A 25,087-nucleotide genomic window follows, 5' to 3' on the forward strand; every position below is an offset into this window, starting at 1 on the left:
ATTAGCTGGGCATTGTGGTGCGCACCTGTAGTCCCAGCTACTTGCGAGGTTGAGGCAGGAGAATTGCTTGAAGCAGGGAAGTGGAGGTTGCAGTGAGCTAAGATCGTACTACTGCACCCTAGCCTGGGCAACACAGCGAGACTCCATCTCAAAAAGATAAAAATTTTTTTTAAAAAGGTTCTCTCATAGTTTATTTAATGTATTTTGTTTTAGGTGAAACACCTACTGGAGCTATTTCACAGTATAAAGAAAGGATGCCTTCTGTCACTCATAGTCCAGAAATAATGGATCTGTCAGAACTACGACCATTCTCTAAACCAGAAATAGCACTGACAGAAGCCCTGAGGCTTTTGGCTGATGAGGATTGGTAAGTTCACCATCCTTAACTTAAAACTAAGCAGAGTTCAAAAGCTTTCTGTAAATATTTAATTAAAAATCTTGAAACACATTTTCTATTAAAATAATCTTAGAAATGATTATTTAGTTCTTAGGCATCAGAGTCTTTTCAGCTCATTAATGTAGCTGAACTCTGGCCCTAATAGTACTTTATTACCAGTTGTATTATAGCTTACATGCCATAAACATATAATTTAGCTTTATAATGGATTATGTAAACCCTTTGATAATGAGATACAAATTTCACCATTTCTCAAAGTATTTCTCTGTGAAATATAATTATTAATAGTCCTGGAAATACTTACCTGCTCCTATTGTAGTGATAGCAGCCAACCAACCAGCCCAGCCAGTAACTCAAGGGAGACAAAAGACAGTGGCAATGTGCATCCCACGTGTTTCAGCGGGAGCATCCACTTACTGCCTTTGTCCCATTTCCTCCCTTGTTCCTTCACTATCTCTCATTATACCCATCTTATACCTCTTCATCAGTTTTGCCTGTGTTCTAGAGCATATTCATCAACTTTAAAATATGCCATAATATCTCTTATTTTTTAAAAACCTCCAGGCCGGGTGCAGTGGCTTACGCCTGTAATCCCAGCACTTTGGGAGGGTGAGGTGGGCAGATCACAAGGTCAGGAGTTCAAGACTAGCCTGGCCAACATAGTGAAACCCCATCTCTACTAAAAATACAAAAAAAATTAGCCAGGCATGGTGGCAGGCACCTGCAGTCCCAGCTACTTGGGAGACTGAGGCAGGAGAATTGCTTGAACCCGGGAGGTGGAGGTTGCAGTGAGCTGAGATTGGGCAACTGCACTCCAGCCTGGGCAACAGAGTGAAACTCTGTCTCAAAAAAAAAAAAAAAAAATAGAAGTTCTGCAGAATTTAATCCACTGGCATTCTCTTTCTACATTCATTTTGTAGCTCAAGGGCAGTCTTTCTGGCAATCTTTTTCTGTAAAGATCCAGGTAATAGGCGTTTTAGACTTTGCAGGGCAGATGCCTCTGTTGCAAATACTGAACTCTGTTGTTGCACAAAAGCAGCCTTAAAACGGTATCTAAACAAATGGGCATAGCTGTGTTTCTATAAAACTTTACTTATAAAACATTATATGAAAACTTTACTCATTAAAAAAATCTGATAGAGCCACATTTGGCCCATGAGCCATAGTTTGCCAATCCCTTCTTAAATTATTTCATTCAGTCTCACAGCTTTAAATTCCATCTAAACTCTGATTTTTCATAAATGTATATCTGTATCCCTGGTATCATTTTGAGCTCTAGACTCAAAAAGAAGTAATCCAACAGCCTAACTTGGCCCTTTTACTTAGATGCCATTAGACATCTTAAATTTAACATATCCAGAAAAGAAATCCTGAACTTCTTCCTGCCAACATGGATTAACAGGACTGTATTTGCCCTCATAACGTGAAAGATCTAACAAAATTATACAAAATATATGAAACAATAGTTTTCAAGGGGTGGGCACAGTGGCTCATGCCTGTAATCTCAGCACTTTGGGAGGCCAGATGACTTGAGGTCAGGAGTTCGAGACCAGCCTGGCCAACATGGTAAAACCTTGTCTGTACTAAAAAACGCAAAAAATCAGCTGGTGCATGGTGGCACACGTCTGTAGTACCAGCCACTTGGGAGGCTGAGGCACAAGAATCGCTTGAACCTGGGAGGCAGAGGTTGCAGTGAACCGAGATCATGTCACTGCACTCCAGCCTGGGTGACAGAGTGAGACTCCATCTCAAAAACAAAGAAACAACAACAAAAAAACAATAGTTTTCAAGACACTGTTCACCAGGCTATGGAAAGATGTTGATCTCTGAGAGACAGGAAACAAACCAGGTGAGCCCTACAATTACCCAGCTTGCTTTCTGGAGAGAGTTTCCAGGTTGCAGCTAAAGGGAGGGAAAACAGGCAGATAGCATCAGAGATGGACATGGTGCTGAGAGTTTGAGGAGGCCATGGTGACTAGACTTTGCAGGACAGAATGCCAGATAGAGCTCCACAGAGAGCTCCAGAGATCATAAGAGGATTTTACTCAAATGTTTAGCAGACAACTGGTCGGGGCATGCATGTAAATACATTTCCTGAGGCCAGAACAAGAACCACTCAAAAAAGTTACAAGGAACAATGTCAGGAGCATATACAATGTTAATAATACTTCCTGTTCCCACCAGCAGAGTGGAAAAGTTCATAATTCACAGGGCATTGGGTAGAATACTCAGAGTTTTGCTCCATAGTGTAGTAAAATAAACCATAGACTGAATGTTAGTTTGGTTCCTACCCAATGAAGTTTAAAAGCAAGGCCTAAGATGATCAAACATTTGATCCTTATTTGAAATACATTTTCAAATAACTATATCCCAGAACAAAGCTGAAGAATATTTATAGGAATACAAAAATAGCTAAAGTGAAATTACCAGGCATGCAGAGAAGCAGGAAAATATAACCAATAGTGAGAAGAAAAAAAGCCAAGTGAAACCAATGCAAAAATGACACAGGTGATAGAATTAGTAGACAAAGACATTGTAACTGTAACTACTGCATGCATTAAAGAGGCTGGAGGAAAGGTTGAGCAAGTAAAGAGATATAATATATATAAGAAACCCAAAACTAATATCTACAGATGAAAGCTATAATGTCTGAGATAGGAAATACACTGGATGAGATTAATAGGTTAGACATTCCAGAAGAAAAGATTAGTGAAGTTGAAGACGTAACCATTGAAACTATTCAAAATGAAACAATGAAGCCTGACCAATAAGGCAAAATCCTGTGTCTACCAAAAATACAAAAATTAGCTGGGTGTGGTGATGCACACCTGTAGTCCCAGCTACTGGGGCGACTGGGGCAGGAGAATCGCTTAAACCCGGGAGGCGGAGGTTGCAGTGAGCTGAGATCGTACCACTGCACCCAGCCTGGGCAACAGGGTGAGACTCTGTCTCAAGTAAAAAAAAAAAATCAAAATGAAACAATGAGAGAAACAAGACTGAAAAAAAAGTCCAAAAAATCTGTCAATTGTGGGACAACTTCAAGTTATGTGTAATTGGAGTTACCAGACAGAGAAGGAGACAGAAAAGAATATTTGTAGAAAAAAATGGACAAAATTTGTTCAAATTGGATGAAAACTATAAACCCAAAGATCTAAGAAGTTCAGTGAACACCAAACACAAGAAACATGAAAAGAAATATTTCAAAGGAGATATAATCAAAAGGCCTAAAATTAGGGATGGAGAAAATCTTAAAAATAGCTAGGGGCAAGACATTACATATAGAACAAAGATCAGACTACTCATCAAATACACTGCAAACCAAAAAACAGTTCAGTGAGATCTTTAAAGTACTGAAAGGAAAAACAAACTGTCAATCTAGAATTCTATATCCAATGAAAATATCTTTCAAAAATAAAAGTAGTGGGCCAGGCATGGTGGCTCACACTTGTAATCCCAGCACTTTATGAGGCCAAGCCAGGAAGATTGCTTGAGCCCAGAAGTTAAAGACCAGCCTTTGCAATATAGCAAGACCTCATCTCTAGAAAAAAAAAAAAAAAGAAAGAAAAAAAATTTAAAATCTGGATGCAGTGATGTGTTTCTGTAGTCCCAGCTAATCAGGAGGCTGAGGCAGAAGGATTGCCTGAATCCAGGGGTTCGAGGCTGCAGTGAGCTGTGATTGTGCCACTACACTGCAGCCTGAGCAACAGAACAAGACCTTGTCTCTAAAAAAAAAAAAAAAAAAAAAAAAAAAGTTTTAAAAGAAGCAAAATGTCTGACAGTTTGATACAAAGGCCCAAAGGGAAGACATGGCAGTATTGCTTTACCAAGGCAACAAAGGAGATAAAATATAACTATAAAAATAATTATAAAGAAAAGATGGGACAAATAGAAAACAAACAGCAAGATGATAGACTTAAACCCAATCATCTAATCACATTAAATGTAGATGAACTAAACACCCTAGTGAGATTAGATTAAAAAGCAAGACCCAACTATATGCTACCTATAAGAAATTCTGTTTAAATATATAGATACAAATAAGTTAAAAGTAGAGATTCAAAAAGATGTATACCATGCTAACACTAATCAAAAGATAGATTACATGGCCATATTAATATCAAAGTATATTTCAAAGCAAAGAATATTAATGAGAGTATTTATTTTATATTGTTATGTAACAAATTGCCACAAACTCAGTGGATTCAAACCACACAAATTGATTAACTCTCAGTTTTCTGGGTCAAGAGATCAGATATAAGTTAACTCAGCTCTTTGCTCAAAATACCACTAGGCTGAAATCAAAGTATCAGCCAGGGATGTGATCTCTTCTTTCAATTTTCTTAGAAGCTCATTGTTTGGAAGAATTGTCTTCCTTGTAGATGTGCAACTGTGGTTTTCATTTTTGTATTAGTCCGTTTTCATGCTGCTGATAAAGACATATCCAAGAGGAGAAGAAAAATAGGTTTAATTGGATTTAACAGTTCCACATGACTGGGGAGGCCTCAGAATCATGGCGGGAGACAAAAGGCACTTCTTATATGGTGGCAGCAAGAGAAAATGAAGCAAAAGCGGAAACCCCTGATAAACTCATCAGATCTTGTGAGACTTATTCACTATCATGAGAATAGCATGGGAAAGACTGGCCCCCATGATTCAGTTACCTCCCTGTGGTTCCCTCCTGAATCCTGGGACATAGCCAAACCCTATCAATTATCTTACTAGCTGTCAGCCAGGGACCCTCTCATCTTCTAGAGGTCAACCTTGTGTCCTTATTATGTGCCACACACACAGATATAGTTCCTCTCAACATGTAGCTTACTTCTTCAAAGTCAGGAGGAGAATCTCTGCTGCTGCTGGTTATCTCTTTTAAGGGAGGTAAAGCCTCCCCAGGATAATCTCCCTTTTGATTAACTTGAAGTCAACTGATTAGGGACCATAATTAAATCTGCAAATCTCTTTTGCTGTCACACTCAATATGATCACAGGGAGTGATATCCCAACACATTCACGTATCAATCACAGGGAGTGATATCGCAACACATTCATGGAGAGGGTGTAATACAGTCTGTGTAAATCAGGGGTAGGAATTATGGATGCCATCTTAGGATTCTGTATACCACATCCAGAATAAAGAGGGTCATTTTATAGTTATAAAGGAATTAATTCATCAAGAGGACATGGCAGTCCTGATGTTTATTTACCATATAATATTGCTTGAAAATACATTAAGCAAAAACTAATAGAACTGCAAGGAGAAATAAATCTCTAATTATAATTGGAACTTCAATAATCCTCTCTCATTAATTAATAGAACAAGTTGAAAGAAAATCAGTAAAGATGGCCAGGTGTGGTGGCTCATGCCTGTAATCTCAACACTTTGGGAGGCTGAGGCGGGCGGATCACGAGGTCAGGAGATTGAGACCATCCTGGTTAACACGGTGAAACCCCATCTCTACTAAAAAAAAAAAAAAATGAGCCGGGCATGCCTGTAGTCCCAGCTACTGGGGAGGCTGAGACAGGAGAATCGCTTGAACCCAGGAGTCAGAGGTTATAGTGAGCCTAGATCGGGCCACTGCACCCCAGCCTGGGTGACAGAGCGAGACTCCATCTCAAAAAAAAAGAAAAAAGAAAAAAGTAAAGATGTAGAAGACTTGGACAACACTTCTTTGTATGTATTTTTAGTAGAGATGGGGTTTTTCTATGTTACTCGGGCTGGTTTCAAATACCTGGGCTCAAGCAATCCATCCACCTCAGCCTTCCAAAGTGTTAGGATTACAGGCTTAGGTCACTGCACCTGGCCTGAACAACAGTATTGACCAATTTTGTCATGGGATCCTTAAGGTGTTACTATGCCAGCCAGAAACCTCTGTGGCCAGTGCTGCCTTTGCCCAAGTTTTGCTCAGGCCCACTTGGGCTCTTTCCGCCCACTTGGCCTCCCAGGCTGTGCTTGGCTTTTGCTACCAGCCCAGATCCCATGCCTACAAAGGGTGAGCCAGGCACAGAGCGGCGAGGGGTGCATGAGCATGGGGTCCGGCCACTGCACACAGCCAGGCATATGCTGGTTGTGGCAGGATAAGCAACTCCATGCACTGGAACAGCTGCTGGCTTCCTGCTACAGCGGGACCAGACATACCACAAGCAGCTTCCACTGTGGGCACCAGGGAATGTGGTGGCACCCAGAAGCTTGGAGATGCCAGCAACTGCAGAACCCCAAAGAGAGTATCACAGCCCTTGCTTGGGAAGCTCCTAAGTCTGGGTTCCCCATAGGGCCACAGCTCTTTTCTCCTTCTTTCTTCTCACCTTCTCGTTGCCCACAATGTCATGAGCGGTGGCAAAGTGATTGGGGTTGGGGGAGATTTCATCCATGTTTGTGTTACAGATGTTTCAGTCCCGAATTCTTGTCCTGAGTCCAAGAAGAATTAGGTATGTGGACAACTGGAGCAAACCTCCAGTTGTGGAGCAAGGTGAAGAGGTGCTTTATTGAGTAACAGTATACCTCTCAGAAGACCTGAAGTGGGTAGCTCCTTTCTGCACGCAAGTTGTCCTGACATCTGTGCAACCCTCAGTGGAGGGGAGACCCAGAGTGGGTAGCTCCTATCCACAGGCGGGTCATCCTGATGTCTGTGCAGCCCTAAGTGGAGAGGAGACCCGGAGTGGGTAGCTCCTATCCACAGGCAGGTCGTTTTGGTGTCTCTGCAGCCCTCAGCGGAGAGGAGACCCAGAGTGGGTAGCTTCTATCTGTAGGCAGGTTGTGCTGATGAGTGTACAGCTCTCAGCAGAGAGGAGACCCTTAGAGGGTAGCTTTTCTCCACAGGCAGGTCATCCCATCTTCCAGACTCTGGCTGAGTCCAGGATTTTTATGGGCTTCAGAGGGGAGGACGTGCATATTGATTGGTCCGTGGGCAGGCCTGGAAAAAGCACCATAAGTTCTCACTCCAGTCTGTGGAACTAGCAGCCCACTCCCACAAGCTTCAGTCTGTCCCTGGCTTGAAGGTACGGCTTCACCTGCCCCTTTCTGCCCAGGATCCTGTCTGCCTCCTGCCACCATCAACCTGCTGTCCATAGTGCCCAGGCTGTTTGTGCTGAGGGGTGCCTGCAGGCCCACACCAAGCTGCTCTTAGCACCCTCCTGGCTTCCTTCCCATGCTTGTTGGTGCCCAAAGTCCAGAGGGGACCATGTCAGCACTGCCCCAAGTGTGTGCACACCCGGCTAGTTCCTGACAGCATCCAGGATCAGCCACAACTTTGCTCCAAAATTGGAGGTTGTGCTGATAGTGGGGAGAACCAGGCAGTGGGAGAAGGCACTTCTGAGCCTGTGGGGGGCAGGGGGGTTTCCAGGGCCCCTGAGAACACAGGAATGCCCAGGTCTGCAGCTGTGGCTGAGTGGCTGCAGCTGCACCCAGGAGGTCAGGGCTCCTACCCCTTCTACTCAGACGGGGGCATGGCTCCCACCTGTTCCTGGCTCCCGCTGGCTCCAGGGAGCACACAGTCCCAGCGCACTTCCCCTGCCACAGCTGGTGTCTTCACAGCAGCCACTCCAGAGGGGCTGCCACTGCCATCAATGTGACCCAATTAACATTTATAACACATTCCACCTACAGCAGCAGAATTCACATTCTGTTCAAGTCCACAAGATATATTTACCAAGAAAGACCTTATTCTAGGCTATAAAACAAGTAATTTAAAAGGATTCAGATTTTATAAATTTTGTTCTCTGGAATTAAATTGGAAATTAATGACAGGTATTTGGAAAATGCTCAAATATTTAGAAACTAAGTAACACACTTATATGTGTAACCTATGGATCTAAGAAGAAATAAGAAATCAAAAGGAAAATTACAAACTATTTTGAATTTGATGAAATAAAGAATGAAACATCAAAATTTATGGGATGTAGCCAAATTAAAGAGGAATATGTCACAGTATAACACCTATATTAGAAAAGAAGAAAAGTTCTATATCAAGGAAATCAGCTTTCACCTTAAACTAGAAACAGAAGAGCACATGAAGCCCAAAGTAAGCAAAGAAAGGAAATAATAAAGATCCATATGGAAATCATTGCAGTGGAAAACAATAGAGAAAATCAATGAAAGCAAAAGCAGGTTCTTGGAAGAAGATCAATAAAACGGATAAGCCTCTAGTCAGATTGACCAAGAAAAAGAAGAGAAAAATTACAAACATGAAGAATGAGAGAAGAAACATCACTACTGATCATACAGCTGTTAAACAGATAATATAGAAATATGATAAACAGCATGATGCCCCAAAATTCAACAACTTAGGTGAAATGGACAAATTATTTAAAAGACACAAACTACCAAAACTCATTCATAAAGAAATAGATAACTTGTGACCGGGCATGGTGGCTCATGCCTGTAATTCCAGCACTTTGGGAGGCCAAGGCAGGCAGATCACTTGAGGCCAGGAGTTCAAGACCAGCATGGCTAACATGGTGAAACCCCATCTCTACTAAAAATACAAAAATTGGCCAGGTGTGGCGGCCCATGCCTGTAATCCCAGCTATTCAGGAGGCTAAGGCACAAGAATCGCTTGAACCCAGGAGCAGAAGGTTGCAGTGAGATGAGATCGCACCACTGCACTCCAGCCTGGGCAACAGAGCGAGACTCTGTCTCAAAAAAGTAATAATAATAATAACTTGTATAACCCAGTATCTATTCATGAAATTGAATTTTTGTTTAAATTTTCCCACAAAGAGGCCAGGAGTGGTGGCTCACGCCTGTAATCTTAGCACTTTGGGAGGCCAAGGCGGGCAGATCACTTGAGGTCAGGAGTTCGAGATCACCTGGCCAACATGTGAAACCTCATCTCTCCTAAAAATACAATAATTAGCCGGCCATGGTGGCACATGCCTGTAATCCCAGCTACTCCAGAGGCTGAGGCAGGAGAATCACATGAACCCAGGAGGTGGTGGTTGCAGTGAGCTGAGATCACGCCACTGCACTCCAGCCTGGGCGACAGAGCAAGACTCCCTCTCAAAACAAAACAAAACAAAAAAGTTTCCACAAAGAAAACTTCAGTTTCTGATAGTTTATCCCAAAGTTTTTACGAAGATACCAATTCTACATATGCTTCTAGAACGTTGAATAAGATGGAGTTCTTCTCATCTCATTGATTGAGGCTACCATTACTCTGATACTAAAACCATACAAAGACAGGAAGACTACAGACTGATTCTTAATATAGCACAAGAACATAGAGATAAAAATTCTTAACACAGAACTTCTTATTTCCCCTCTTCCTAATCTGAAATATACTTCTCGCTCAGTGTTCACTGTCTTAGTTAATAGCCCTGCCTTACACATTTGGTTGTTCATTCCAAGTCAGGGTTGACTTTTTTTTGTCTTTGTTTGTTTGAGACAGAGTCTCACTGTGTCACCCAGGCTGAAGTGCAGTGGCACGATCACAGCTTACTGCAGCCTCGACCTCTGTGGGCTCAGGTGATCCTCCCACTTCAGCCACACAAGTAGCTGTGACTACAGGTGCACACTACTACGCCTGGCTAATTTTTATATTTTTTGTAGAGACAGAGTTTCACCCAAGCTAGTCTTGAAATACTGGGCTCAAGCAATCTGCCCACCTCAGCCTCCCAAAATGTTAGGATTATAGGCGTGAGCCACTGCACCTGGCCTCTCATTTCTTTACATTCCATCAATTCTTATATTTTCAGAACATATCCTGAAACCAATTACCTACTGCAGTCTCTGCTGCCATCCCTCTAGTTCATGCCGTAATTATCTCCCACATGGCTATTGTAGTTTCATCACCGGTTTCCATGCTTGCATTATTACTCCATCTCATATAACAGCCATTGATGCTGTTAAGATATAAACCAGACCATGGGACTTCCTCACAGAAAGCACTTTGGTAGCTCTCTGGAACACTAGGGAAAAAATTTTAAATCCTTACCAAAAATTGTAACTCTTTATTACCAAGGGACAGATAATGAAGGATCAGCTAACCAGGCCTATTGTTAAATCATAAAAGGGTCTATGCATCAAGAAGATGTATCAGTCCTAACACACACACACACACATACACATACACATAAATACATATAGAGAGAGCATGCATGAATGCTTCAGAATACATGAAGAAAACAACTAATAGAAATTTAAGGAGAAATACACAAATCTACAATTATATCTATATTATAATTGTATAAGGTACACAATTATAGATTGTGTAAGTTAATATAATTATAATCTTTTAAATCTAAAAGATATAAAAGTTATCTTTACACTATAATGTAGTCTAATAAGTGCACAGTAGTATTGTGCCTAAAAAAATCAATATGCCTTAATTAAAAAATACTTAATTGCTAAAAAATACTACTGATCACCTGAACCCTCAGTGAGTTGTAATCTTTTTGCTAGTGGAGGATCTTACCCTGATGTTGATGGCTGCTGACTGATCAGGGTGGTAGTGGCTGGCTGTGGTAATTTTAGCAATCACAGTAAATATTACTGCTCATTGACAGTGTACCCGGTCACTCAGGAGCTCTGATGGAGATGTACAAGGAGATTAATGTTGTTTTCATGCATGCTAACATAACTTCAATTCTGAAAATTTAGCACCTAAGAATCATACTGGTTTTGAAAGTCCTAGATGGCATCTTCTAATAGGAGGCTGTTTCATTTACACTGAATATCTGCTGTTTCGTGTAGCTACTTGTATCTATTACCTTACCTAGATCTTATGGATAACTTGCTGCAGCTTCTACATTAGCACCTACTGCTTCACATTGCACTTTTATTTTTTTTTTTCTCTTTGAGACGGAGTCTTGCTTTGTCATCCAGGCTGGAGTGCAGTGGTGCGATCTTGGCTCACTGCAACCTCCACCTCCCAGGTTTAAGTGATTCTCCTGCCTCAGCCTCCCGAGTAGCTGGGATTACAGGTGTCCACCACCATGCCCAGCTGATTTTTGTATTTTCAGTAGAGACAGCGTTTCACCATGTTGGCCTGGCTGGTCTCAAACTCCTGACCTCTTGATCCACCTGCCTCGGCCTCCCAAAGTGCTGGTATTACAGATATGATTCACTGCACCCAGCCCACATTGCACTTTTATGTTATGGAGATGGCTTCTTTCCCTCAACCTCATGAACCAACCTCTGCTAAACTCAAAACTTTTCTTCTGAGCCTTTCTCACCTTTCTGAACCTCTTCCTTGGCAATATTCCATACACAGAAAATAAGACATTTGTGATCCTGTTCCAGTTGAGTCCCATTTAACGAATGATCTTGTCATTTCTTTTTCTCATAGGGAGAAGAAAATTGAGGGACTGAATTTTATTAGATGCTTAGCTGCTTTTCATTCTGAGATACTGAACACAAAGTTGCATGAAACAAATTTTGCAGTTGTTCAAGAGGTAAACTTATTTTTCAGATGAGTTAAGGATTGTTAGAATAACAAAGGATAAATATGCTATGTTTATTTGACCTTTAAAATTTTTAAACAACTCTGTACCATATGATATAAAAGGCTTGTATTTAATTAAAGTAGTCCATGTCTTAATTTGCAACATTAAGAGAAACTTAATAGATGTTGATTCTTAGGACAAAAGATAATATATATTAAGATGTGGGGTTTTGTTTGTTTGTTTTTGAAACGGAGTCTTGCTCTGTTGCCCAGGCTGGAGTGCAGTGGTGGGATCTCGGGTCACTGCAACCTTCTCCTCCTAGGTTCAAGAGACTCTCCTGCCTCAGTCTCCCAAGTAGCTGGGATTACAGGCACACACCACCACACCTGGCTAATTTTTGTATTTTGAGTAGAGACAGGCTTTGACCATATTGGCCAGGCTGGTCTTGAACTCCTGACCTCAGGTGATCCACCCACCTCGGCCTCCCAAAGTGCTGGGATTATAGGTGTAAGCCACCACGCCCGGTTTAAGATACGTTACTTGAAGCCAGGAGTTTGAGACCAGTCGGCCCAACATGGCAAAACCCCATTTTGACTAAAAATACAAAAATTAGCCAGGCATGGTGGTGTGCATCTGTAATCCTAGCTACTCAGGTGGCTGAGGCAAGAGAATTGCTTGGACCTGGGAGGCAGAGGTTACAGTGAGCCGAAATCATGCTACTGCACTCCAGCCTGGTCGACAGAGCGAGACCCTAACTCAAAAAAAAAAACATTGTAAAATTCCTTTCCAAGTTATTATTAGTGATTTTCTTGCAGAATATCAGCAAAATGTACATTTTGAATTTTTTTTTAGGTGAAAAATTTACGTTCTGGAGTTTCTCGTGCTGCTGTGGTCTGTTTAAGTGATCTTTTCACTTATTTGAAAAAGAGCATGGATCAAGAGCTAGATACCACAGTAAAAGTTTTGTTGCACAAGGCTGGTGAATCAAATACATTTATAAGAGAAGATGTTGACAAAGCATTGAGAGCTATGGTTAATAATGTAACTCCTGCACGTGCAGTTGTTTCTCTTATCAATGGTGGACAAAGGTAATGTTCAAAATAACCTTGAAATGTCTTTAAACAAAAAATGAAATGTTGCAATCGGGACTGTAGAAAAGAAACAAGCAAATCTTAGTAGTATATCAGTCAAAAAACATTTATTAAAAAGTTCCTATGAGATAAACATTATACTACATGCCGAATATGAAAAGAATAATTTTTTATTATTTTTCTCATAGAATATGTATACTTCTTTTGTCCCTCGGGCACCTTGCAAAATGTCTGCCACACAAAATCATCTAGGCAATTTGGCTTTAGGAGCCTTACAATTATTATTTTTTTATTAATTTTTATTTCAATAGCTTTTAGGGTACAAGTGGTTTTTTGTTACATGGGTGAATTGTATAATAGTGAATTCTGAGATTTTTGTGCACCCATCACTTGAGTAGTGAACATTGTACCTAATGTGTAGTTTTTATCCCTCGCCCCCCTCCTGCTCTCCTTCTTTCTCTAAAGTTCATTATATAAAGTTCATTATATATATCACCCTGTATGACTTTGCATACTCATAACTTAGCTGCCACTTATAGGTGAGAACATATGGTTTTTGGTGTTTCAATCCATTATTAGAATAGTGGCCTCCAGCTCTATCCAAGTTTGCTGCAAAAGACACTATTTAATTCATTTTAATGGCAGAGTAGTATTCCATGGTCTGTGTGTGTATATATATATATATATATATATATATATATATATATATATGTGTGTGTGTGTGTGTGTGTGTGTGTGTGTGTGTATATATATGTATATATATACATATATATACATATATACACACATATATATGTGTATATATATACACATATATACACATATATATGTGTATATATATACACATATATACACATATATATACACATATGTATATATATACACATATATATATAAAACATTTTCTTTATCCACTGATTAGTCAGTGGGCACTTAGGTTGGTTCCACATCTTTGTAATTTTGAATTTTGTTGCTATAAACATACATGTGCAAGTATCTTTTTCACATAATGACTTTTCATTTGGGTAGATTCCAAGTAGTAGGATTGCTAGATCAAATGGTAGATCTACTTTTAGCTCAATAAAAGTTATTGTAATAACGTTACCCTATTGTTATTCCAATAATGTTATTTACATTCATAGATCTATAACTAAATGTCAGTTTTGTTTTGCTTTTAACTTTTGGGGAAGGGATAAGTAATGCAAATAATTTGACATTTTAGACTCACAGGATGATTGTTGAGGAGCTGTTAAATCATTTAACTTTAAGATAGATCTTAGCCTCACGTGGTGGCTCATACCTGTAATCCCAGCACTTTGGGAGGCCAAGGTGAGAAGATCCCTTGAGTCCAGGAGTTCGAGACCAGCCTGGGCAACATAGTAAGACCTCGTCTGTACTAAAAATAAAATCAAATTACCTGGGTGTGGTGGCACATGCCTGTGGCCTCAGCTACTTGGGAGGCTAAGGCAGGAGGATCACTTGAACCCAGGAGGTCAAAGCTGCAGTAAGCCATGATTGCATCACTGCATTCCAGCCTCAGTGACAGAGCAAGACCCTGTCCCAAAAAACAAAACCAAAATACAAACAAACAAAAACAACCCATAGATCCATAGATCTTTGGAGAATAGTTTATATAACAACTCTGTTTTAATTGATCATGTCTCCTTGTAGCCATTTACACATTGCTGTAAGAAGGTGTACAGCCCAGCATTTATCAGATGTATTGGAATTTATGGAACCAGAACGTATTTTATCTGCAGCAAAGGATATGGCTGAACGCATATTACCAGCTGCTGCTAAGTTTGCTCAAGACAGTTCACAAGAAACCAGGTGAATATCTGCTAATGTTTGCTAAATCTATTATTAATAAGGGCTTAAAAGTAGGAAAAGAAAGAAAGTTTAAAGAAGAATGAACATTTTCTAAATGGAGAAGTGGGGTCCCAGGGATTGGTGCTGGGGGATGGTCTTATTTAACCAGTTTGTAAATATTCTTGAGGGAGTGCACAGTGAATTCTCCAAATTTACAGATGACACTACATACTTCTGGGTAGTGAGATGCCAAGTCACAGGGATGAACTTCATGAAAACGGCACAAGACTGTGTGAGTGGGCAGAAAAGTGGCAGAAGAACTTCATTATGGGCAAATGTAAGGTAATGCATTTAGGGGAAAATGATATATTTTCCAAGCAATCAGGTAAAATAAGGAAATAGGTACACATGAAAAATACAGGAATAAGGCGGGTCGTGGTGGCTCACGCCTGTAATCCCAGCACTTTGGGAGGCTGAGGCAGGTGGATCACGAGATCAGGAGTTCGAGACAAGCCTGGCCAACATGGTGAAACCCCGTCTCTACTAAAAATACAATAAAATTAGCCGGGCATGGTGGCAGGCGCCTGTAATCTCAGCTACTCTGGAGGCTGAGGCAGGAGAATCGCTTGAACCCGGGAGGCGGAGGTTGCAGTGAGCCGAGATTGCGCCATTGCACTCCAGCCTGGGTGACAGAGCGAGACTCTGTCTCAAAAAAAAAAAAAAGAAAGAAAAATACAGGAATAATGCATAACAATATATTATCCTACAAAACATGAGATATCTGCAGTGTGAAAACTACACAAATTTCTGATGCTTTTACTGGAAAAACAATTTTATGAAGTTTAAGAACAGTCAGAGAAAAACAACACAATAATTAAGATGTGGATGATATAATGGCTGTGGTGGTGACAGAAATTTTCAATGTAGTCAGATGCTTATGTTAAATTTCTAGTCCCCGTCATTGTTTGTCCTTAAGCAAGTTACTTAATTTCTGTTAGTCTCTGTTTCCTTGTCTATAAAATTAGGAAGGGTGGACTAGGTGACCAGTAATGTCCCATATAAAATCTAAAATTTTTATAGTAATGATATATGGCCGGGTGTGGTGGCTCACACCTGTAATCCCAGCACTTTGGGAGGTGGAGGCAGGTAGATCACCTGAGGTCAGGAGTTTGAGACCAGCCTGCGAACATGGTTAAAACCCCGCCTCTACTCAAAATATAAAAATTAGCCAGGCATGGTGGCACATGCCTGTAATCCCAGCTACCCAGGAGGCTGAAGCAGGAGAATCACACCAACCTGGGAGGCAGAGGTTGCAGTGAGCTGAGATTGTGCCACTGCACTCCAGACTGAGAAACAGAGCGAGACTCCATCTCAAAAAAAAAAAAAAAAGGCTGGTTGTGGTGGCTTACACCTGTAATCCCAGCACTTTGGGAGGCTGAGGCGGGCGGCTCACAAGATCAAGAGATTGAGACCATTCTGGCCAACATGGTGAAACCCCATCTCTACTAAAAATACAAAAATTAGCCGGGCATGGCGGCATGCGCCTGTAGTTCCAGCTACTCGGGAGGCTGAGGCAGGAGAATCTCTTCAGCCACTGCACTCCAGCCTAGAGACAGAGCAAGACTCCATCTCAAAAAAAAAAAAAAAAAAAAAAGGATAATTTTTTAAAAGAATCTGAGTCATAAAGATTAAAGTAAAGAAGTATATAAAATGTTTATTATTTTAAGACAAAGATGTTCATTACTTTAGGTATCTGGAGTTAATATTATGGAACTCATTATACCTAAAGATAATACAGAAAGTAAATATATTAGTTTTTCATTGCTGTGTAAAGTTTAACACAAATGTAGGAGCTTAAGGCAACCACATTTTTTGGCTTAGAGTTCTTTAGGTCAGAAGTCTGGCATGGCTCACCTCAGTTCACTGCCTATGGTTTCAGAAGGCCAAAATCAGGGTGATAGCAGTGCTGGGCTTTGCCAAATTCAATTCCTTGTGGTTATAAGACTGAGGTCAGCTGGGCGTGGTGGCTCACACCTATAATCCCAGCACTTTGGGAGTTGGAGGCGGGTGGATCACCTGAGGTCAGGAGTTCAAGACCAGCCTAAACAACATGATGAAACCCCGTCTCTATTAAAAATACAAAAATTAGCTGGGCGTGGTGGCGTGTGCCTATAATCCCAGCTACTCAGGAGGCTGAAGCAGGAGAATTGCTTGAACCTAGGAAGTGGAGGTTGCAGTGAGTCGAGATCACACTATTGCATTCCAACCTGGGTGACAGAGTGGGACAGAGGGTTGACTCAGGCCAGAACATCCGCCCAGTAGGTGGACAGCAAATGGTCAATGGGTAAGGAGCCCAGGACAGAGACAAACTTCTCAAAAAAAAAAAAAAAAAAAAAAAAAAAAAGACTGAGGTCTGCATTTCCTTGCTGGCTGTCAGTGAGGGTCCTTGCTCAGCTCCTTAACACCACTCACATTTCTTTGCATGCAACCCTCCTCTGTTTTTAAGCCAGCAATAACATGTTGAGCTCCCCTTCATAGGATCTTTCAGACTTCCTCTTTTTGTACCAGTCACAGAAAGCGCTCTGCTTTTTTTTTTTGGAGACAGAGTCTTGCTCTGTCACCCAGGTTGAAGTGCAGTGGCGCCATCTCGGCTCACTGCAAGCTCCGCCTTCCGGGTTCAAGCGATTCTGCCTCAGCCTCCTGAGTAGCTGGGACTACAAGCGCCTGCCACCACACCCGGCTAATTTTTTGTATTTTTGGTAGAGATGGGGTTTCACTGTGTTAGCCAGGATCACCTCGATCTCCTGACCTTGTGATCCGCCTGCCTCGGCCTCCCAAAGTGCTGGGATTATAGGTGTGAGCCACCGCACCCGGCCAGAAAGTTCTCTTCTTTTAAGCGCTCGTTTGATTAGATTAATTCCACCAGATCATGTCATTACTTTAAGGTTAACTGTACTATATGATATAACATAATCTTGGGAGTGATATCTTATTATATTCACAAATTTTAGGGATTGGAGCAGGACATCTTTGGGGAACCATTTTAAAGTTCTACATATCACGTTAATGTTCAAAAAAATTCAAGAGGGTTAGATCATTATAGGCTAGTTAGGAATAAAGGATGTTCTTTTCTCCCTCTCTATCACCTTGTTAAAAAAAAAAAGATTTCTTAATGGCCATCTCATGTGCTTCTTTACTTAACCTTTCCTTGATGGCATAGTAATTCTTTCTAGCCCATTTTGTCATTTCTTAGATTCTTATTTAAAGTTATAAAATTATAAAATGGTTACAATTAATTTTCGAGTTTTGTATTTCTCACATTTTGTGTCCCTGCTCTCTGCTGACTTGTTTGTTTTAGCCTTTCTCATATCATTGGGTCCCCTGTAATAGACCTAGAGTCCTTAACATTCCAGGCTAAACATTAGAATTGCCCTTGGAAATATAACTGATTAGGAGCTACTTATCTGGATATAGACCTTATTCTGGTTGTGGAGAAAGGTAATATTTATTCTCTGACATCACTTCTCTTCCTGCAATTTCATTACATTTGAAGGGGTCACGTTGAGATATGTGATCTTTTTCTTTTTGGAGACAGGGTCTTGCTCTTTAGCCCAGGCTGGAGTACAGTGGTATAATCTCGGCTCACTGCTACCTCCGCCTCCTGAGCTCAAGTGATCCTCCCACCTCAGCCTCCCGAGTAGCTGGGACTACAGGCGTGTGTCACCATGCCTGGCTAAGTTTTGTATTTTTTGTAGAGATGGGGTGTTGCCATGTTGCTGAAGCTGGTCTTGAACTCTTGGGCTCAAGCAGTCCACCTACCTTGTCCTCTCAAAGTGCTGGGATTATAGGTGTGAGCCACTGCGCCTGGTCAAGACGGGTGGTCTTAAGATCATCCTGTATCCCCCCAATCCACAAAACCCACAAAAGCCTGCCTTTTTCTCGTTCCTTTTTTTTTCCCCCAAGACTCTGTCACCCAGGCTAGAGGGCAGTGGTGCAATCTCAGTTCACTGCAACCTCCACCTCCCAGGTTCAAGCGATTCTCATGCCTCAGCCTCCTGAGTTGCTGGGATTACAGGCATGTGCCACCATGCCTGGCTGATTTTTGTATTTTTAGTAGACACTGGGTTTCACCATGTTGGCCAGGCTAGTCTCTAACTCCTGGCCTCAGGTGATCCACCTGCCTTGGCCTCCCAAAGTGCTGGGATTACAGGTGTGAGCCACCACGCCCAGCCTCTTCTCTGGTTCTTTTTGTGCCATATATTCCAAGTTGTGAGTAAAAGTGTAACTGTGATTTATTTTAGGGCCCGGCCTCATTGAAGATGAATAGTGTGGTACTATTTTGAAGTAGTATAAGACATCTGTGTGCTAAAATATCTCCAGTATGCACTTCCATGATATCTGAATTTCCACCATTAGAATCATTGGGCTTAAAGTATTATGCTAAGATGATTATTTTATAATTCATATAAATAAGAAAACCTAGTTTTTGAGATTATTACCTGTATTAACATATCAGTCACAATTTTATCAACTAACCTTGGGTGTATTTTAGGTAGTAAAGAATAGGATTCTGAAGAATCAGAACCCTGGTAAGTTTTGGCTAGGGAAAAACAGAGAATGAGAAATACAGGACCTAGGGAGGGTTGACTCAGGCCAGAACATCTGGCCCTTAGGTGGACAGCAAATGGTCAATGGGCAAGGAGCCCAGGATGGAGGAAAACTTCACAATTCTCCCAAATGCCAGCATTGATATGGACCTTGGGGTGCCTGAAAAATAGAATCAAAGCTTTTGTCTCTCCATCTGGCACATGGCAGAAGGATTTGAAGACAGTGACTTTAAAGGGGGATTATGGGAGCATCCCAACAGATGCTTTTTTTTTTTTTTTTTTTTTTTTGAGACGCAGTCTCACTCTGTTGCCCAGGCTGGAGTGCAATGGTGTGATCTCGGCTCACTGCAACCTCCACCTCCTGGATTCAAATGATTTTCCTGCCTCAGTCTCCTGAATAACTGGGATTACCTGAGCACGCCAACACATCTGGCTAATTTTTGTATTTTTTTAGGAGAGACGGGGTTTCATCATGTTGGCCAGGCTGATCTCGAACTCCTGACCTTGTGATCCACCTGCCTTGGCCTCCCAAAGTGCTGGGATTACAGGCGTGAGCCACTGTACCTGGCCACAGATGCTTCTTAACTTACAATGAGGTTATATCCCAATAAACCCATCATGAATAGGAATTATCATAAGCCAAAAGTGCATTTAAACACCTAACCTACCAAACATCATAATGTAGCCAAGCCTTACCTTAAACATGCTGAGAACACTTACATTAGCCTACGCTTAGACAGAATCATCTGGCAACACAGTACATTGTAGAGTATGGTGATCATATGGCTGAGTGGGAGCTGTGGCTCGCTGCTGCTGCCCAGCATCTTAAAAGAGTGTCATACTGCATATGACTAGCCATGGAAAAAGTCAAAATTCAAAGTATGGTTTCCACAGAATCATATCTCTTTCACACTATTATAAAGTTGAAAAATTATAAGTCAAACCGTTGTAAGTCGGAGACCATCTGTACCCTCTAGGGTATCCTATACAGTTAGGATATCTATATTTTCATGGTTATTTAATATAGGGATGGTAATCTTGATGTTTGATAGGTGTTTTTTTTCTATTGAAACAATGCATCTAAGGTCAGCAACTGAGCTTATTAATGTCTAAAAAGTAATATACCTGTTTTTCAAATACTCACAGGTATTATGGTCGAAAGATGCTGTTCTTCATGATGTGTCATCCTAACTTTGAAAAAATGCTTGAAAAGTATGTCCCATCTAAAGATTTGCCATATATTAAGGACTCTGTTAGAAACTTACAGCAAAAGGTATGTGGGAAAAGTTTGTTTTATAAACAGCTTTATAAGCAAAGCTTGTTTTTACATCCAGGTAAAGGATAGGAATAATTATTTATTTGATTATTTCTCTGTTAATCATTTGGACTATTGGACTATATCTGCAATAGCATTTCAACAATTACAATACTAAGTAGACATACATATTGTCAAGCCTTGGAAGTAAATGTTTATTGCACAGAAGCTTGATGTTTGGTAGAATATAGTTTGGCTTATTGGAGTTAACAAGACATGGGTTTGAATTGCAGCTCTAACAGTTAGCAACTGTGTAACTTACACATGCCTCTTCATTTCTCTAACTAGAATTCTCACTTTATAAAATGAGGATAATAATGTTTACCATGTTTAGTCCCTGCTTTATTTACCTTGCATGTCCCACTATTAGAGCTATTACCACACTGCAGAACATTTTTAGGGAGCTCCTTGAGGGTAAGTGCAATGTCTTTTTTTTTTTTTTTTTTTTCTTTTGAGACAGAGTCTTGCTGTGCCACTAGGCTAGAGTGCAGTGGTGTGATCTCGGCTCACTACAACCTCCACCTCTTGGGTTCAAGCGATTCTCCTGCCTCAGCCTCTCGAGTAGCTGGGATTACAGGTGCCCACCACCACGCCCAACTAATTTTTTGTATTTTTTAGTAGAGACGGGGTTTCACCATGTTGGCCAGGCTTGTCTTGAACTCCTGACCTCAGGTGATCCGCCTGACTCGGCCTCCCAAAGTGCTGGGATTACAGGCGAGAGCCAATGCGCCCAGCCATGCCATGTCTTATTTGTCCTGGTAGATAATGGGAATTCAGTAATGTCTGATAAATGAGTGACTGAGAGAATACCAAGTGAAATAAAATATGAAAAGTAATCTATTTACATATTAATTTAAAAATATGTTTAATTTAATAAAGTAAAATTTTTCTATTGTAATTTATGTCATTTCTCTCTGATGACCTTGGGATAAGGACTCACTTGTGAAGGAATAATATTACAAAAATAATGTAGCAATAGACATTTTAGAGCATTTTTTTCTGCCCGTTGAGCCTGAAGGTTTCAGCTTAGTTCATATTAGAACTTATTAATATAACCATGCAAAAAAAAATAATCTGACTAAAATGAAGCAGATTGCATCTGTGAGTCTTTCCAGTACAGGAAAAGTTTTAAATAGTTCTCATCAAAATGTTTATTCTCACACTCCTAATGTTGCATAGGAACAACAGTGTTCAGTGTTTATGGACTGTGTTCATATATTCTACATAGATTTTAAGCTTTAAGAAGAGTAGTTACGAAATACAGCATATTATTATTATTATTATTATTATTTTGAAACAGAGTCATGCTCTGTCGCTCAGGCTGGAGTGCAGTGGCATGATCTTAGCTCACTGCAACCTCTGCCTCTGGGTTCAAGGAATTCTCCTGCCTCAGCCTCCCAAATAGCTAGGATTACACCACCATGCCCAGCTAGTTTTTGTGCTTTTAGTTGAGACAGGGTTTCCCCATGTTGGCCAGGCTGGTATCAAACTCCTGACCTCAGATGATCCACCTGCCTCAGCCTCCCAAAGTGCTGGGATTACAGGTGTGAGCCACCACACCCAGCCCAAAATACAGCATATTAATTTTTAGTTTTTAACTCGTTTTTACAAGTCAATATATATTTTCCCATTAGTCACGTATTTTGTTAATTTACTGCTAACTACAAGGTGTTTTATGTATCTCATACTCTTTAAAGCATATCAGATTATTAAAATACTTTCCATCTTAAAAAATCAATGATGCCTACTTTGAAAATTACATTGTGTAAATTATTTCACTACTAGTTTTAAAATTTGTATTATACTAATTTTATATTTACTTGCAGGGTTTGGGGGAGATACCATTAGATACTCCTTCAGCAAAAGGAAGACGATCTCATACTGGCAGTGTTGGAAATACAAGATCATCATCTGTTTCTAGAGATGCTTTCAATTCAGCTGAAAGGTAAGATGATGTAATAGTCCTCATCAGAGAAATTACTCCCTTGTGATAGTAGTCTCATTTGGATGTTTTCATAAACTACCCCAGGGGTATTTGCCAAAATTTAATGGAGTTTTAAAAGTTTGCTTAGGATCCAGAAAGTGTGAGGTAATTAGATTTAATAAGGCAATTATATATTTACAGCAACTTGCTTTTATTTGCACTGGACATTAGCAATGCTTTAGTGTTATTGAACTGGTCGATGTTAGGCCTATTTTGGACAACTCTGATTAATTTTTTAAAAATTTATAGCCTTTATTTTTCCCCCGATTGTAAAGTAATACATAATTATGGTTAAAGGGGAAAAAAAAACCTTTAGAAAATGAAAGCATTACAAGGATTTGGAAGGCCAGAAGTGGTGGCTTACACCTGTAATCCAAGCACTTTGGGAGGCTGAGGCAGGCAGAATTGTTTGAGCTCAGGAGTTCGAGATCAGCCTGGGCAACATGGCAAAACCCTGTCTCTACCAAAAAAATACAAAAATTAGCCGGGCCTGGTGGTTTTTGTTACCTGTGATTTTGAGGTCTTAGTCTTGAATTATTTACATAGACCAATGTCCAGAAGAGTACTGCCTAGATTTTCTTCTTGTATTTTTATAAATGTAGGTCCCAAATTTAAGTCTTTAATCCATTTAGTTGATTTTTATATAAGGTGAGAGATACTGTTTCATTCTGCATATGGCAATCTAATTTTTTCAGCATCATTTATTGAAAAGAGTGCTCTTTCCTCCATGTATGTTCTTGTCAGCTTTGTCAAAGATCAGTTGGTTGTAGATATGTGGCTTTATTTCTGGGTTCTCTATTCTGTTCCATTAATGTATGTATCTGTTTTTAGACCAGTACCATGTTGTTTGGGTTTTATAGCCTTATCGTGTAATTTGAAGCCAGGTAATGTGATGCCTCTAGCATTGTTGGTTTTGCTTAAGGTTGCTTTGGCTGGCTGGGCGCCATGGCTCACACCTGTAATCCCAGCACTTTGGGATGCTGAGGCGGGTGGATCACGAGGTCAGGAGTTCAAGACCAGCCTGGCCAACGTAGTGAAACCCCGTCTCTAGTAAAACTACAAAAAATTAGCCGGGCATGGTGGAGGGTGCCTGTAATCCCAGCTACTTGGGAGGCTGAGGCAGGAGAATTGCTTGAATCCAGGAGGCGGAGGTTGCAGTGAGCTGAGATCACGCCATTGGATTCCAGCCTGGGCAGAGTGAGACTCCATCTCAAAAAAAAAAAAAAAAAAAGATTGCTTTGGCTACTTGGGCTCTTTTTTTTTTTTTTTTTTCCAAAAAAAGGTTCAGTGAGCCACGAATTTTAGGATTGTTTTTTCTAAGTCTGTGATAAATGATATTGGTATTTTGATAGGGATTGCATTCAGACTGTAGACTGCTTTTGGCAGTATGGTCGTTTTAATTATTCTGATCCATGAACCTGGGATGTTTTTCCATTTGTTTGTGTCATCTACAACTTCTTTTGTCAGCGTTTTTTAGTTTTCCTTGTAGAGATCTTTTACCTCCTTGGTTAAAAATATACTCCTAGGTATTTTATTTCTTTTTTAGTTATTATAAGTGGGATTGTCTTCTTGATTTGTTTCTCAGCTTACTCCTTATTGGTATATAGAAATGCTATTGATTTTTTTAAGTTGATTTTGTATCTTGACATTTTACTGAATTCGCTTATCAAATCTAAGAGTCTTTTGGTGGAGTCTTTGGGGTTTTCTAGATATAAGATCATATCATCAGCAAACAGGGATAATTTGACTTTTGCAGTTGGGTGCCTTTTATTTTTTTCTCTTGCATGATTACTTTATCTAGGACTTATAGTACTGTGTTGAATAGAAGTGGTGAAAGTGGGCATCTTTGACTTGTTCCAGTTCTTGGAATGCTTTCAGCTTTTTCCTATTTAGTATGATGTTGGCTGTGGGTTTATTGTATATGGCCTTTATTATGTTGAGGTATGTTCCTTCTGTGCCTATTTTGTTGAGGATTTTTATCATGAAGTGATGATGAATTTTATCAAATGCTTTTTCTGCTTCCTTTGAGATAATCATATGGTTTTTGTCCTTAGCTATGTTTGTGTGATGTATCATATTTTTTTAATTCCGTGTGTTAAACCATCCTTGCATCCCTGGTATAAAACCCAATTGATCCTGATATTTTATCTTTTTGACGTGCTGTTGTTGCTAGTATTTTGTTGAGGATTTTTACATCTATATTTTTAGGGGATGTTAGTCTGTAGCTTTCGTCTTTTGTTGTGTCTTTGCCTTGTTTTGGTATCAGGGTGATATTGGCCTCATAGAATAATTTAGGGCAGATTCCCCCTCTGCAATTTTTGGAAAGTTTCAGGATGATTGGTATAAGTTTTTGTTTTATTTATTTATTTATTTATTTGTTTGTTTGTTTATTGTACATTTGGTAGAATTCGACTGTGAACCCATCTTGTCCTGTGGGGTTTTTTTGCTTACTGATTCATTCTCACTACTCACTGGTCTGTTCAGGATTTCTGTTTCTTCCTAGTTCAA

The 25,087-nt window shown here is 40.3% G+C and overlaps 1 protein-coding gene across 7 annotated transcripts in view; it reads left to right on the plus strand.

The window, feature by feature from the left end:
- The window catches only part of TOGARAM1 (TOG array regulator of axonemal microtubules 1), a 112,242-nt gene that overhangs the window by 69,820 nt on the left and 17,335 nt on the right, over positions 1-25,087 (plus strand). For 5 of the 7 annotated variants that reach the window (NR_131765.2, NM_001308120.2, XM_011536571.2 and 2 more), the window contains 6 exons: positions 214-367; positions 11,677-11,782; positions 12,626-12,861; positions 14,536-14,694; positions 20,427-20,553; positions 22,422-22,540. Coding sequence is in view for 6 of the 7 variants with exons in the window: in NM_001308120.2 (NP_001295049.1) it covers positions 214-367; positions 11,677-11,782; positions 12,626-12,861; positions 14,536-14,694; positions 20,427-20,553; positions 22,422-22,540 (901 nt within the window). In the remaining variant the exon portion in view is untranslated. Of the gene's footprint in view, positions 1-213; positions 368-11,676; positions 11,783-12,625; positions 12,862-14,535; positions 14,695-14,891; positions 15,004-20,426; positions 20,554-22,421; positions 22,541-25,087 lie in introns of those variants that run through there. The other 2 variants (NM_015091.4, XM_047431147.1) reach the window with 2 other exon arrangements.

The sequence above is a fragment of the Homo sapiens genome, chromosome 14 (assembly GCF_000001405.40).
Source record: "Homo sapiens chromosome 14, GRCh38.p14 Primary Assembly".
NCBI classification, from domain to species: domain Eukaryota; kingdom Metazoa; phylum Chordata; class Mammalia; order Primates; family Hominidae; genus Homo; species Homo sapiens.